Below are 17,146 nucleotides of genomic sequence, written 5' to 3'. Positions count from 1 at the left end.
TAAGAGTTGTCCCTTTATAAATGCAAATTTGTTGCCTAGTTAACAATTGCTTAGGGAAATGAAACAGATAATTGAAAGACTGATACACCAAATAGAGAAAATAAAAACTATTTAAAATCTGGAAAAAGCTATAAGATCTGCTTCTGCTTGTTTGTATGTGTATGTGTTATGTGTATGTGATATTTGATAAATAAAGCTAGTTTTTAATTTGTTGGTAAAATAGAAATGGCTTGATAATTATCAGTTAAATATAGTTAGATACTCACTTGATTTGACTGTGAGCTTATGTCTTCGGCTTAGAGTCTCTGGATTGAGGCATCTGGATAGGTGGCCATGATGATATCTAGAGACACGTTCGTAGTGTCTAGACCACCAGCTACAAGCCCGATATGGCCCCTTCTTCCTCTGCTTTCCCTGTTTTGCCTCCTGGCTATTGTGGGAGTAGTTGGATCCTCCAAGTATAGTCTTCACAGCTCTGGCTTCTGTCCTGATAGACTCAGGCCCTGACCTTCATAGTCCTCATGGGGGACACATGGCTTCTTGGGACCTAGAATGACTGGGAGGAGACATTAGGGAGGCTGCCTCTGTTAATAGCTTCAAAAATTCTTTTCAGTAATTTAAAATCCTAGAGTCATGTTATGTTAAATTAATTAATAAAAAAATCACAAGATGAGTCATGTTCAAGATACTGAAATATGCATTATTAAACATGCATTTAAGTCTATATACCTTGGCATATTATTTCTATGTAGTATAGAAAAGTAAATATATTTAGATCTGATAATAAGAATAATTTGAAGAACTATCTTTCTAAAAAATTATAAAATGGTTTTTATCTACAAATAACTGATATAAAACAGTTCAAAATTACTTTCTAGAGTTTTCACTAGAAATAAGGGTTACTAAGAGTTAAAAACTACTGTTAGAGGTGTTTGAACCTGAGCAACTCCATCTTGAATAAGGGCTTGGTAAAATGAGGCTAAAACCTACTGGGCTGCATTCCCAGAAAGTTAAGGTATTCTCAGTCACAGGATGAAAGAGGAGGTTGGCACAAGATCCAGGTCTTAAAGACCTTGCTGATAAAACAGGTTTCAGTAAAGAAGCTGGCTAAGACCCACCAAAACCAAGATGGTGATGAGAGTGATCTCTGGTCGTCCTCACTGCTACACTCCCATTAGCACCATGACACTTTACAAATGCCATGGCAACGTCAGGAAGTTACTCTATATGATCTAAAAAGGGGAGGCAAGAATAATCTACCCCTTGTTAAAATATCAATAAATAACCATAAAAATGGGCAACCAGCAGCCCTCGGGACTGCTCTGTCTGTGGAGTAGCCATTTTTTATTCCTTTACTTTCCTAATAAACTTGCTTTCACTTTCTTCCACAGACTTGGCCTGAATTATTTCTTGCAGAAGATCCAAAAACCTTCTGTTGGGGTCTGAATTGGGACTCCTTTCCTGTAGCATCTTTCTGGTGACCACTGAAGGGACTATAGTGCAGAAAACCCCCACCCAAAGGCTAACTTTCGGTAAGTGGTAGGGGCCAGTAACATCTTTCTGGTGAACTCTGAAGGGACGATACTGAAGAAACCCTCCCACCCAAAGGAAATAGACTACAGCACTGATTGGCCAACTTTGGGTAAGTGGTGGGGTACCCAGGTAAAGCATGGAATTGGGTTAGAGGCCCAACTTAGGGGAGTTAGAGTCTCTCCTTAGACAGAGTGGGTTAGAGGCCACTCTTGATAAAAGTCAAGGACACTTGACCCATCTTGGGTTAAAGGCCCAGCTTAGGAGGGTTAGAGTCCCTTTTAAGATTTAGGGGGTTAGAAGCCCCTTTCAGTAAAGTACCTTTTGGCTAAGAATGGGTTTAGTATTATGAAATGTTAAGTGCTATTCTCTTTGGATTAATCTGCCTTGAACTCTTTGCTCAGGGCTGTGGGTGACAGGATTAGGCACATATAGGATCATGGGACACGGGGAGCTTTTTCCTCCCTAAAAGGGGAAACTCAAGAGCTGATGAGACTGCTGGAAAATATCCCTTTGCTACTGACAAGCAGCCGCCTGAACTTTTCAGTGTCACTGCAATGGGTGGGTCTTTCTCTGGCCTCCCTGAGTACCTCGCCTTCCCCACCCTGCCTCAAGCAATGCTTCCTCTCTCTCTGTCTCATCTCTCTCTCTCTTTTTGTGTGTGTGCAAACTGGCTGAATGAATGGCAAAAACCATTGTTTATCTCCTCTGTAAAGTTTAGATTAATGGAAAAAAGGACTTGTGAGGCTAGTTGTAAGCTATAGTGAATCTGGTGTGCTTTGTGTGTCTTTCCGTATTGTTCTCCCATAAAGAGGGGTATTGTAGGATGGAACATGGGCTTAGGACACCTGTAAGCCCACTGTTCAAGATGGCCCAGGAAACTGGTCAGGTATAAATTTTGCTGCAGGTCCCTAAACACAAAACTGGGTGAGATATCCCTCTTGTCTTGTATGTCTTGGGGAGCCTGACCTTGTAACCATGTGGTGATGATTTCTCTTTTCACAGTGGCGGCCCAGGATCAGGGTTCAATTCCTGGCTTAGGGAATGAATCCTTTATCTTATTTTATCTATGTATTTATATATGTTGTGGGTGTAATATAAAAGAGCTTTAATTAAATGGTTTAATAATAGGAGCTTACATCAAATATTTGATCAGAAAAGTATAACATGAATACTTTTTATTTAGTTCACATGACTTAAGTAATCTTTGGAAAATAAAGACAGTTTTAAAGTTATTGGTAAAATAAAAATATCTTTAAAATGTAAACATTTGGTCTAAATTATGTGGGTCAGATATTAGGTTTTCCAAGTGCTTTAAGGTCATAAACTGCTTCTTTGACTTTTGAAAATTGTTCATTTTACCTACTTTGGAGCTTTAGATTCTAGATAAGGCCTGGAAACATGTGGAACTAGCCACACTCACTAGCTATGCTGGAAAGAATCAAACCTTATCTGCACTTCTGTCTGGGTCCTAGGCTCCACACCTGGTACATAATTAGAATAACTTACTAACCAGGTTTTTCACTAAAAATAAAAGTTGCTAAGAGTTAACATTGTATGCATTCCAGCCTGGCAAGAGAGCCAGACTACATCTCAAAGAAAAAGAAAAAGAGTTGACATTGTAACATATAATTGAGACTACTGAAGAAACAGTTTTATGTTCAAGGTGTGTAAGAAAAGTAGAATGTGCTTTCGGTAAAAGATTACAAGAAAACATGGGAATACAGATTTCTTGCCTAAGTTTAGAGAGTTAAAGGATTGTTTTAAGTTAGGATAAAGCTGAAGGTTTAAGCAAGTTGTTAAAGGTCTGTGAAATATTAATCTTAAAGAAGAAATTATCTGTGTGAACATATTGGCTAAAATTAAAGGGCTATTATTCAGTTTTTTGATAAATCGGACATTGGAATAAAAGCACAACAGGTTTTTCTTAGAGCTAACACCTGCTTGTAATCTGCTGTTTAACAAACATTTTTAAAGGATTATAAAAGATTTATTAAAATCTTACCTCATGGTCAAGCTGATTAAGATTAAATACATTTGTCTATAAGGTTTTATTAAGATTTGGGTTTAACACAAATAGCACATTAGTGTAGAGATGAAATTTGCCTTATTGGGTATAAAAATCTTACAGGAAGCACTGCCAAATATGAAATGGTGTTTGGCTTTCTTTGGGCTATATTTGCATAAATATGTTATTGGTATGTGATCCAAAATAATGGGAAACTCCTATAATTCTGATATGACTTAGTGTATGTTATTAATAAATACAATTGTTACATAAATTTTTGTATGCCACACTAATAACCAAATTTCCTTATCGTTTGTGGCTTTAATAGTGGCTGTCCTAAGACTTTTTATAATCCACACACAATTGTTGTCTTGTTTTGGTCCTCTTTAAAAGGTGGTTTTATAATCAACTATAGGACTTCAACAGGTACATTTAAATGGAGGATTTTCTGATAACTTTGGAGATTGTGACATTAGATAGAGAAAAAAACCTTTCAGAACTCTCGTAGCTGAATGTTCATGAATCAAGCAGGACAGGAGTTAACTGCATGGACTGAAGTAATAGAAGCTATTTACAGCTTTTAACAATTGAGTATACTCCTGTGAACAAAATGTGAAGGATATTTGTTTCTCTCTGCCTACTTTCTCCAAAATTTGGAAACTATTTGTGAGTATTCCTAATTTATGGGAATATGGTTATTTGCTTAAGTGCAATACAAATCTGTTTTATTTTGCATCAGGACACAAACTGGAGAAACTGGTTATTTTATGGAGACTTTAACTGGAATGGCATGCTTTCCTTTAAGGAATCAAATTTGACTTGTAGAGCCAATGAAAGCCACTTGGGGAACTGGCCTCATACCTTGCCTACACAGTCCCTGTACAGGGTTTCTGCCCTGTGATAAGTAAAGAATGTCACTTTCTAACAGGCCCAGGAACCCCCAGGTTATCTTGGAACCCCAAGAGGAGAGAGATTTGCTCAACTTGTAGGTATTTGAGGGTTCAAACCAATGGCAGGACTCAGCTCTAAAAAAAGTCTTATCTGAGATTCCTTATGGAACAAAGTTCCAACAGGCCAACTTATAAAGTCTATGTAAAAAATAATTATTCTTGCTGCACTTTATACAAATAATCAGGCCAAGTATAATAAAGCAAATCAGTCTTACCATGATTTATCTTTAGTAAAAATGGGAAACTGGAGAGTGAAATATTATGTTTCAAGAATGATGTACACCTGCTATTAAATTCTAGTCTCATCAGTTGTTTTTAAGTTTGTTTCTGCAGTTTAGGCTAATCCTGGTTATTCCTATGACCCAACCAGTGATTGACTGCTGCTCAGAAGAAACAAGAGGGATGGGTAATGTAAAAATCTAAATCAGTCTTCTAATTCTGGGCCCATTAGAATCAGCTAGCAACCCCATATCAGCTTGGTTCCAACAGTTACCAATTCATGGAAAGCCTTCTAATTCAGTTTACTTGAGAAATTTTACTTATTTTGTTTTACTGTTTTAAAATATATTGCTGTTGTACTCTTTGTGTAAAAATGCAGAATAAGCTTACTGAATATCTTCTTAAATTGAACACTTATTAATCTTTCAGATAGTGCCTTTTGTTGAAACTTGGATTTTGAATGGCCCTCACCATACTGATGACTTGTGACTAAGCTCCTCGCTACCCTGAATATGAGAGGCAGGAATAAAATACCCATAATAGATAGGCAGGAATATCATTACCCCTATTCAGCCTGATGAAGTTACAGAAGATGGAACTTCATCCCTCTGCAACCCTTAGGATTAAGGGTTCTCTTATAAAAGGGAGCAGGGAAATGTCAGAAGCATTTGAGTCAGAGCAACTCCATCTTGAGGAGGGGCTTGGTAAAATGAGGCTGAGACCTATTGGGTTGCATTCGCAGACAGTTAAGGCATTCTAAGTCACGTGATGAGATACGAGGTTGGCACAAGATACAGGTCATAAAGACCTTGCTGATTAAACAGGTTGCAGTAAAGAAGCTGGCTAAAACCCACCAAAACCAAGATGGCAATGAGAGTAACCTCTGCTTGCCCTCATTGCTACACTCCCATCAGTGCCATAATAGCTTACAAATGCCATAGCAACATGAGGAAGTTACCCTATATGGTCTAAAAGGAGGAAGCATGAATAATCCATCCCTTGTTTAGCATATCATCAAGAAATAATCATAAAAAATGGGCAACCAGCAGCCCTCAGGGCTGTTCTGTCTGTGGAGCAGTCATTCTTTTATTCCTTTACTTTCCTAATAAATTTGCTTTCACTTTACTGTATGAACTTAGCCTGAAATATTTCTTGCACGAGATCCAAGAACCCTCTCTTGGGGTCTAGATTAAGACCCCTTTCCTGTAACACTACCAGATATGAGAGAAACACTTTTGTATACACAAAGTATATGAACAAAAGCAAGATATGTGTTTGAAGAGGAAAGTTATGAAGGCATAAAAATGTGTGTTAAAAATTTTGTCTGGTTTGAAGTAACTTAAAGGTTTCAAACTGAAGGAGTGAAAAAATAGATGAAGCAAGATGAATATAAAAAGTTGGATAAAACTGTAAAACAAAGGGTTTATGGAACTATTGTGTGGTTGAAAGATGGCAGCTTTGTTAACTTAATTAATGAGGTTGTATTAAAATTAGTTTTAGTATTAATAATATGCTAATACACAGGTAAAACTTGATTTTCTCTTTTGAACAAAAATTATGTGTAGTGTTAAAAAGAGTAAAATATTTTTATTAACCTTTTGTGTAAATTGCAAAAAGAAAAAAAGATAAAAAGGAAAAATCAAAAGGTCTTTTGATTGTTTGGAAAACTGTCTGAGTCTCCTTTATCAAAGAATACAAGTTTTTGTTTAAAAAAATCAATTATCACTGTGACTGAATGAATGGCTATTGTTTTACAGTAACCTGTGATCCTATTTTGATCAAATGTTTTAAACCTTTGACATATTTGACAAATATGTCAGGTTATATATTGATGATTGTTATTAATATATGTTCCAAAATTGTATGGGATTTCTAAACTTCTAATATGTCTCACTATGTGCTAACGATCGTAATTATGGTGACTATGTTAAGTTACTGGAGACCACAAAAATAACCAAATTTCCTTGTCAACTATGTCTTTAACTGATTATTTATAGTCATTTCCACAGTTCATAACTTAATTGTGATTCAGTTTCTGAAAACTTCACAAGCATGCAAAATCCTAGAATATAGTATCTTTAAGGAGGTTAATGAGAGGATGAAAGTACCCTGAGAAGCACTCTTCAGTAAAGGTTTCTAATAACTTTAGAATCATATCGTTTAGACTGGGTAAGAATTCCTGGAACTTTAATGAAGAGACTGATTGGTTTATAAAGCTGGTAAACCAAGCAGGACAAATTTAACTGAATAGCAAGAAAATACTTTGACAGATTTCCATGCTAAATATATACAATTTGAATAAATTCCATGGTTTAAGTCAAATTACCTATGCTAAATCATCAGTTAACAGTGTTCTCCACCTAAATTGGAGAAACAGCTGGTATTCAAGAGAATATAAGTCCAATGTTAAGCATGGGCGCATTGAAAATCAGGATGGCTGCGTTGTCTTTCCTGAGTCCTTAAAGCTTTTGTTATTAAAAGTTCTGCATTTTATGGCTCGTCATAGAAACATAAAATAATCCAGATTAAATATATATATTGGTGTGGTGACTTCTGTAAAAAGAAAATAAATCTTGGGACCCCAAAATCACTAAACCAAAGGGAAAAGTCAAGCTGGGAACTGTTTAGGGCAAACCTGCCTCCCATTCTATTCCAAAAACACAAACAAACAAACAAACAAAAACTACTAAGATGAAAAAGCTATATACCTACCTCACAAGGAATTTCCTTGTTGACAAAGGACAGGCAGAACGCAAAGTCACCCCTCTGCTCACTGATATAAATGCATATCTGATTGCCACCTTTGGAAAGGCTCATCAGAAACTCAAACATATGCAACAGTTTGTCTCTTATCTACCTATGACCTGGAAGCCGCCTCTCCGCTTCGAGTTGTCCTCACCTTTCTGGATGGAACCAATGTACATCTTACATATATTGATTGATGTCTCATGTCTCCCTAAAATGTGTAAAACCAAGCTGTGACCCGACCAGCTTGGCTACATGTCATCAGGACCTCCTCTGGACACGTTCAAAACCTTAATTATGATGAAATAAACTTCCTAAATTGACTGAGATCTATCTCAGATATTTGGAGTTCAGACTTTTAAATTGCTAAAATAGTTTATGACCAAAGTTTGGCTTGTCAAACTCATATTCCTGAGAGGAAAATCAAAACTTCAGGTGAATTCTGCTACCTGATGGGCCATTTAATCATTTATAGACGGATTTTTTTCAATTGTCATTTTCAATGCATGTTTTCTTGTTGTATAAAAGCTTTCTCAGCCAGGTGTGGTGGCTCACGCCTGTAATCCCAGCACTTTGGGAGGCGGAGGCGGGCGGGTCACCAGGTCAGGAGATTGAGATCATCCTGGCTAACACGGTGAAACCCCATCTCTACTAAAAATACAAAAAAAATTATCCGGGCGTGGTGGCGGGCACCTGTAGTCCCAGCTACTCAGGAGGCTGAAGCAGGAGAATGGCGTGAACCTGGGAGGCGGAGCTTGCAGTGAGCCAAGATCACGCCACTGCACTCCAGCCTGGGCGACAGGGCAAGAGTCCATCAAAAAAAAAAAAAAAAAAAGCTTTCTCATGAAAGAGGGCTGAAGTTGTAATAGTAGCTCATTATGCCACAGTGTATTTTCACCAGGTAAAGAAAGTTTTTCATGGTTCACTGACTGAGAACAATCAACCACTTCTCAATCTAGAACCCAAAGACTGGCTCTTCTGAGAACATCACAGAAAGATTGCCCTGGCTATCCACATTGAAGCAATACTTTGGGATCTTTAACCTTGTGTTCATAATCTCACAACTCAGAAGGGTCCCTCCACACTGTTGGAACTGTACAGCTATTGGAAACCTTAAGGTAAAGCTAACCAGGGAAGTTTCTCCCCAAAAGAAGATGGCATCCATGACGTAAACAACTTTTTCTGACGATCATGGAGCAAGACTTCTCTACTATCATACGACACTTATCTTTCATTTTTTTTCCTTTGTTTATGCCTCTATGAACAATAAAAGTGAAAAGGGGATTGGTTGTATGCACTCATAGGGTTATAATTTTATTTGTGAAGGATTTTGCAACCAGTCTTATACATGGATAACCTTACACCTTGATAGATGGAAGATGAAGACCCAATGTATGTGAGAAATTTTAATGGTACATATATAGCTTCATAGTCAGTCAGAAACAGAACATTGGTCCACTCCTCTTAACCTACATCATGGGTTAAAGACAATATTGCCAGAGGATCTTCACTCTTCTAGAATGGCTTCATTTGTTAGGTCCTTTTTTCCACGTATTGGAGTAAATAAGGCGATTTATCCCTCATGATAGACTCTGTAGCAGATCCTAGTATAAAGGCTGTGACTACACAACAGACTTGAAATTATCTTGTGAAAGTTATGCTAAATAATAGAATTGCTCTAAGCTACTTACTGGCTAAACAGAGAAGTATCTGGCACTTCTTGTTCCCCATGGAGAAATTCATCACATGGGATAGTATAAAGAATCAGTTATAGGCGATTAACAAAGAGACTACTTAAAGTGAGTTGATTCTTTGTCTAGTTCATTCTTTGATCTATTTGATTTCTCTTGGTTTGGTTTAAGGCAACCCTGGCTAAAGAACATACTGCAAACTCTTGGTATTATTCTCCTGATAGTCGTAATAGTAGTCTTCCTGGTGCACTGTATTCTCTCAAAAATTTTAAATGTTTGCATGCAGCCATCTCTAGAATGTCAAATGGTCTCTCTTCAACTGGAGTAACAAGAGCTGAAAGAAATGTGTGACCATAAGGGCATATAACCTGTGAATTACATGCTGAGACCAGAAACGCAAAATGATGGTAACAGAGAGTGGTGCTAAGGTCCTAAGTTTTGGTCACACTCTCACCTAAGTAAGAACCTGACCAAAATGGGGCAGTTTTTAAGCAAATTATGGGAGGCCATTGTTTTGGTCTGAGTTCATGCACCAGGCCCCAACAGACCAGACCAAAACAAAATAGAGTCACTTATGCTAAATGTGACATAATCAAACACTTTAAGGAAGCACATAGCAGGGAAAATGCCAGATGCTTAATCAGATCTCATGAGAACTCACTCAGTATCATGAGAACACCAGGGGGGAAACCGCCCCCATGATTCAATTACCTCCACCTAGTCCCATCCTTGACATGTGGGGATTATGGGGATTACAATTTGGGGTGAGATTTGGGTGAGAACACAAAGCCTAACCATACCAGGCAGCTTTAGGCTAAACTTGGTTTAACATTATCAAGAATATATGCACCTTCTCTTCTAAAGCTTGCCGTTGATCTCATTATTAAAATCATTTCATTGAGTTTCATGGAGGAAGCTCTGACATTGCTCATATTAGCTTCTATTTTGAGTAGACAGTGGCAGAAGCTGGGTAGGGAAACAGGAAAGATGAAGGACAGCAAAGCCAGCTCCCCTTTCCCTCTGGCCCACATAATTCAGCTTGTGAGACAGTGGCTCCATAGCAAATAATCCTGGCTATTTTTTTTTATCCAAAATAAATCTAAGCCTCCCCTAAACACACATAATACTCAACAGTGGAAAGAAAAAAAATATGAAACATCAATAGTCAATTCCAGATAGAAAACGAGAAAAAGGGAAACCACATGTAGGACAAACAGCAACAGATCTTGGTTGCTCTGCCACCTTCACCTAGCTTTCCATCTGAGATCCTGAAACAAAGCTCAGTTTTCCCAACCCCTCCATCCCTCAGGCTACCTTTATTCATTGAAGAAATTGAATACATATTTCCCAAGTTCCAGAAACTGTTTTCGTACCAGAGTTACCACACTGAATGCAGAGGCAAAAATCCCATCCCTCAAAAAAAAAAAAAATTAGGTGAAAAAATGTAAATATGAAGAATTCAGTATATTGCCTAATAAATCAAGGGAAGAAGAATGATGGAAAGCGCTGAGTTTGGGGGTGTGGCAATTGTAGAAAGGGCAGCCAGGCAAAGCCTGAGAAACAACATTTGAATAATGGCCTGAAGGAAGTGAGAGAATAGCAATTGAAATGTCAATGGGGAAGAACAAGATAGTCTGAAGAAAAAGCAAACCGAAGACCCTGGGCATGTCCCGAGTGCCCAAGTGAGGAAGCCTGTGGCTGAGCAAGGTGGAGCTGAGAGAAAGCAGTCAGTGTAATATTAACAACAGTCCTATTATAAGACACACCAGGATGAGCTAGACTTTGCGAGGAATGTGGATCTTACTGTGCTTCAGGCATGTCCTTATTAAACTGCCATTGCAAAAATGATATCACTGAGAAAATTATGACTGTGAATGAGATTTGAGCTAACCCACCCCACATCTTGCCTTTCCCTTAATTAATCCTAGGCTACTGGGCTGAGCTAACCTTGGAAGACATTTAGGCTATAGTTTAAATGATAAATAGGCTTTACCCAAAACTCACCAGCTTGTTAAAAGAGAATAGGAGGTCATCAGGCCGCGGGCAGGAGAGGAACCTGAGTCCTGCTAAGGCACAGGCAGGAAAGATTGTCAGCCGTTATTCCAGAGGCTATAAGAAATGCAACTTCCCCAGTTATTCCTGCAGACAACACACTATTGTAAATTGGCCTTTTGAGACGTCTTTCAGGTTTTTTGCATGTCTCACACCCATGGCTCCACCTGGACCACCAACTCTGCTCTCGTGGCCCCACTTAGAAGCTATTCAGCCCACAAAAGGACAGCTTTGACCCACTATGATTTCATCTCTGCCCTAATCAATCAGTAGCAAGCCAAGCTACCCCCACCCCTTTCCCCAAATTGAGTTTGAAAAACACCTAACCTAAGAGCTTTGGAAGAGATGATTTGAGTACTAGCTCTATTTCCGACATGGCTTGGCCAGCCTTATGTCTATTAAACTCTTTCCTACTGCAGTGCCATGGTCTTTATTTTACATACGGTGGGCAAGAAGAACCCCGTGGGTGGTTACATTATTTGTTATAAAAATGTCATTTTTGTTAATAGAGAAGAAGGCAAAATCAAAATAATTTACAGACGAATCAGGTTGTGGATGGATCTTATTTTATAATGGGAAGTGGAAATTGTTGGTCTGGGGGTTGTAAACCAAAAATAAAATTTGAAGCCCTTCCACTTGCCCTGCAGCCATCTAAATGGACCCATAATGGACCAGGGCCCTCCAGATTTAACGTGAAAGACGGGTTCAGGTCATGACAGGAAGCGGGGAGCTGGACATGCCCCATTATGCTGTCTTCCCTTTTGTAATTCAGGAATAGCAGACCAGCAATTTGACATCAACCCAGCCTTTAAGTCTGATAAGAAATATTTACATTCTATTCTCTCTGAAGGTAGCTACCTGGAGGCTTCATCAGCAAGATAAAACTTTGGTCTCCCCAACATCTTATCATAACCCAGATATTCCTTTCTATTTCTAATAACTCTTTCAACCAATGCCAGTCAGAAAATTTTTAAATTTAACTATAACCTGGAATGCCTACTTCAAGATGTCCCACTTCTCTGGACCAAAGCAATGTATAGCTTAAGTGTATTTGATTGATGTCTCATGTCTCCCTAAAACATATAAAACCAAGTGGTAGCCTAACCACCTTGGGCACAAGTTGTCCAGACTGCCTGAGGATGTATCATGGGCCATGGTCACTTACATCTGGCTCAGAATAAATCTTTTCAAATATTTCACAGAGTTTAACAACAGATGTATGAGAGAAATTTAGCGCATTATGCTTCTTCCTTTCTCAAACCCTTCTTATATCCCAATATTATTTCATTGCCTTTCTTGGTTGGATAAAGACATAGATTTTTGGAATTCTGCAATATAGAATCCATAGAAAGAATAGCTGACCCTAAATGACCTAGGAATTTTAGCTGTAGGCATTAAAGGTCACTTTTTTTTTTTTTTTTTTTTTTTTTGAGATGGAGTCTTGCTCTGTCGCCAGGCTGGAGTGCAGTGGCGCAATCTCAGCTCACTGCAACCTCCACCTCCCAAGTTCAAGCGATTCCCCTGCCTCAGCCTCCCAAGTAGCTGGGATTACAGGCACGTGCCACCATGCCTGGCTAATTTTTTGTATTTTTAGTAGAGTCGGGGTTTCACCATGTTGGCCAAGACTGTCTCGATCTCCTGACCTTGTGATCCGCCTGCCTCAGCCTCCCAAAGTGTTGGGATTACAGGCATGAGCCACTGCGTCCAGCCTAAAGGTCACTTTTTACAATAAGTGAAGGACATGATGACAAATGATGACATGATGGGTATGTCACAGCAGAAAGAGAATCTGGGCCTGATGGCTGTGTACAGTCACCAGTCCAACCTCACACTTACCTATCTTGAGTCCTCAATATAAGAAGAAAATAAAAGAACATCTCCATGGTTTAAACCTCTTGTAGTTAGTTGGTTTTGTGTTACTCATATTTGTAAACATTACTAACAGATATGCCTTTCTCTACTATTTGATCTTTTAGCCATGTTCATCCAATACTTTATTAACATTTTAAATATTAAAGTGTAAATGAGTTAATTCAGTAATCTGCAGAGTCTCCACCTGTGGAAAGTTTATAGGCTAAAGGAGAAGATCAAAAGTCCCTTTTTAACTTACTTAGGGCCAAAAGACACCACGGATATCCAGAGAAAAGTGTTTTATAAGATCCACGCATGGTTAGTTCAACATAGAAAGTATTTTGTCATTGTCTTTACATTCAGTGATATCAGCTTATGGAAAGTAATTCTACTTAATTATATTCACTGCTAAAGACAAGATTTATGTTGTTTGAAAACACATTATGATACATTAGTTTGGAGAAAAACCTACAATTATACTGTGGGAGGAACAGAGACAAAAAGACATGGCAGCATTATTGCCATTAAGATGGATAAATTAGAGGTAAAGAAGTGATTTCTGGATAATTTAGTTTCTTTTTTCACTGAATGTCCCTGTAAAGGGTAGTTGATAAATTAGTGCATATTTAGGCATTATTGATTATCCATGGTTAAGATACTTCCCTCTTGGGTGTATGTCTACGGGATATGTAGAAAATGCTTTTAATTTAAATACGCTCTCTAAGAGTGAATCTTATGGCATATAAACTCCAGGCCTAATTGGGATATATCAAAATTTCATGTATTTTTCCATTTTTTTCAAATGATACCACAGAGGTGGCCAAATACTCCAACCACACATGAGAACTAAGTTTCAGGGACAAACATGGAAGATTTGAAGTAGACGACCTGAAGGAACCTGAAATACAGCAGTTTAAAGGCTGTTATAAACATAGCATGTGATTGGAAAATCCAACCAGCAAAGAAAAACTATAAACTTCACATGAAATCTGACTTGCCTCTGGACTTAGTAGCTCTATTTAAATAGCTCCTTCCAAGTTGACTTTTAGGCTTTTTTAAAGTGTTGGTATTGAAGATTTCTGAGGCAAAGCAAAAACAAAACTGGTATAACTGATATCCAACTGTGTCATCTGTAAAGATGAAGAAAATAGTATACTTGCCTCCTTTCTCTTGCTTTCATTTTTTTCTAAAATAACTTTCCCCAACTCTATGAATCACTTACTTTTTCAGTTAACAAAGTCTAAAGTTCTGCTTGCCACTTTGGGACTGATACTTGAATTTCTTATTGCATCTCAAACCTGTGAATTGTTTCGGGAATTATTTCCATGTCCTTGTTATATATTCTTTCAGAGAGAGTGAATCACAACACAGTAGCTGATGACAGTTAATTGTACAATATTTGAAATGTTCTTCATCTCAAAGGAAGGCAGAGTGCTTGGCAAAGACTATTATGCAAATAATTGCCTCTTCTCTGAAAAAAAAAAAACACCTTCTGCACTCTAGGAAGTCAGCATCCATCACACCACGACAAAAAGCAGAGCCTCCTTTTCTCATCACCGGCATGGCTGAAGCATGAAATTTAAAACTCAGAAATTTCTAAAAGCAGAGATTTAAAACATGTCGAAGTTTCACAGGACTTCAGATAATTAATGGCCACTGACACTTACTCTGCTTGTTTATTTTACGGCTCAGAAATTTAGTAGTTTTCAGAAAACTGCCTTTGTATACATACTGAGAATCATCAGCATGTATATATCTAAGTGCTGATCTCACAAAGCGTAAAGCAAATATTACATTATGGATTTTTGTGAGGATAATGACTCAGTTGGGTGCTTTAACTTAATAAGGTGGCTCTTGAAAACCACCTATTGTAGAAGTGCCCTGGTCTCAGAAGCAGGAACCTGAAGTCCCACAGGGCAGCTTTGCAGGAGCTCAGAGGCTGTACCCTGCAGGAGTTGTGCAATATGGAGGTACATGGTCTGGTTAAAGGAATGCTACAAATCAATGATTCAAAGTCACTTCATCGCTTTGGGCTTCACTTTACTCCTCTCTAAAATTGAAGATATGCCTTTGGTAATCTTTAAAGAACTTTCTGACTATATAAATCCATGATTTTCAAAAACCATTCTCAGATGATTAGTTTCTGAGTCAAAAAAGTGACCTGTTCTGAATCATACAAATATTTATTTAAAAGCCATAACATATAACCAAGAATCTCAGAAAGCAAAAATAAAAATAAGGTACTGAAGAAGGTATTTGTCTTTCTGAAAAAAAATAAAAAAGAAGAGATAATATGCATATAATATCCTAAAATAGGATTAAACCAACAATAATTGCTACCTCCACAAATTAGGCAAATAAAAGTTTTCCACTCTTTCCATTAAAAACTGCTTGCATTTAATTATATTCTATCCATGAAAGAAAAGTAATCTCGTATGCTATGAGGCCACAATTGTTTATTCTCCTGTGGATTAACCCTCATTTCACTCCTGAAAAAAGAAAAATGGGTTCCTACTTTTTGAATATAAAGTGGATTTTTCACCAAATGAGATTAAAATATGAAAAGTGATTTATCTTTGTTCTTCTCATTCGTGTTAGAATAGGCTGCCACTTTGTCACCTTGAGTCAAACTGTTAAATTTAGTTACTGGCCTTATTTTATCTTTAGCTACTGTCTGTCCAGTCACAGAAACACCTTTCAGTTTCCTTAGATGGCCTTAAATACAGGTTTAATCTCCTCCCTTTCTGTCTTCTGCCTTTGCAGTTGTCTAAGCTGTCATCTCTGAGTTATTCTTTGCTAGATAAATGTTTTTCAAAAATAAAAACTACTTTTTATTTTTATCATTGCCACCAGTTGCCCCTCTCAATGGCTTTTTAGTATTTAGACTGAGTATTTATAAGGTTTTGTATAATCTAGACCTCTCTTGATGATTATGGCTCAATGCTAAGCTCTAGTGACACTGGCTTCTTTCAGGTCCTTGATAAAAACCATGCTTTCTCACCAAGGAGTCTGTTCCATAGGTCTGGGATGACACATCCACTCTGTTTTAATCTTATTAAACCCTATTCTACTTTTATACTCTAACACCACACCATATCCTCAGGAATATGTTCCCGGACAACCTAACTCAATGCTATATCTGCCTTCTCCATAAACAAAAACATACACTTACCTAATACCAACCGCTTATTCTGAAAAGCACTTACCTTAATTGTAATTTTATATGTATAGTCAGTTCTCATTATCCATGGTAGTTATGGTCTATGAAGTTGCCACCAACACTGAGTTAGTGAATACTGAATAATTGTTCCTAGGAGAAATACAGAGTTAGTTTCCTGGGAGCCTCTGGTCACATTTTTGAGAATTGATCAATATATAACCTTGTTTTGTATGTGTTTCTGGACAACATCTACACTTGCTCTGCTTGTTACCACCTTATTTAATATGTACTGGTGATTCACTGACATTGAGCTCACATTGGTGCTTATAACTCATGCCTGAACAAAGCTTACCTAACACATGCATTTTCTCCCTAAGGTACAACATGGCCTTCTTGTGCTTAGAAACACTAGACAGCACTCCAGCCCTAGGGTTGGGCACTGTTTTAAGCAACAAAATCACCAAAAAAAGCACAAAATGCAAAACAAATGCAACACAAAATAGGCCACAAAAAGAACATTGGTTTGCACAGAGCTGAAACAAAATGCTTACTCAGAGTGTCACCTTGTTTGACATCAGCCTGGAGTGTGCACGGCAGCCACCAACATTTTTTGCCCCTCTGTACATGCCCGTGAATAATTGTAAAAGTTCAGTGAGTATTGATCTTGGGATTATAAATAAATGTTAGCACTCACAAATTTGCAAATACAGAATCTGCAAATAATGAGGATAGACTGTATTTACATAAACATATGGTTAAGGTCTATTTCTCCACTCTACTGTAAGCTCCATGAAAGCAAGAATCATTTCCCACCACTGTGTTTCCAGCACCTGAATGACACACATAGACATACACACACACACACACACACACACACAACACTTGATACATATTTTCATTAATAAAGCAGTCCTAGATATCACTATCAAAACAGTGCTTC

General features: G+C 37.8%; 1 long non-coding RNA gene across 3 annotated transcripts in view; it reads left to right on the top strand.

Annotated features, from left to right (window-relative positions):
* The window catches only part of LOC105378066 (uncharacterized), a 122,515-nt gene that overhangs the window by 10,256 nt on the left and 95,113 nt on the right, over positions 1-17,146 (top strand). For all 3 annotated transcript variants that reach the window (NR_187985.1, NR_187983.1, NR_187984.1), the window contains exon 3: positions 1,392-1,532. This is a non-coding gene — a long non-coding RNA (uncharacterized LOC105378066). The remainder of the gene's footprint in view (positions 1-1,391; positions 1,533-17,146) is intronic.

The sequence above is a fragment of the Homo sapiens genome, chromosome 6, assembly GCF_000001405.40.
Source record: "Homo sapiens chromosome 6, GRCh38.p14 Primary Assembly".
Taxonomy (NCBI): Eukaryota; Metazoa; Chordata; class Mammalia; order Primates; family Hominidae; genus Homo; species Homo sapiens.
This window is presented reverse-complemented; position numbering and strand designations above follow the sequence as displayed.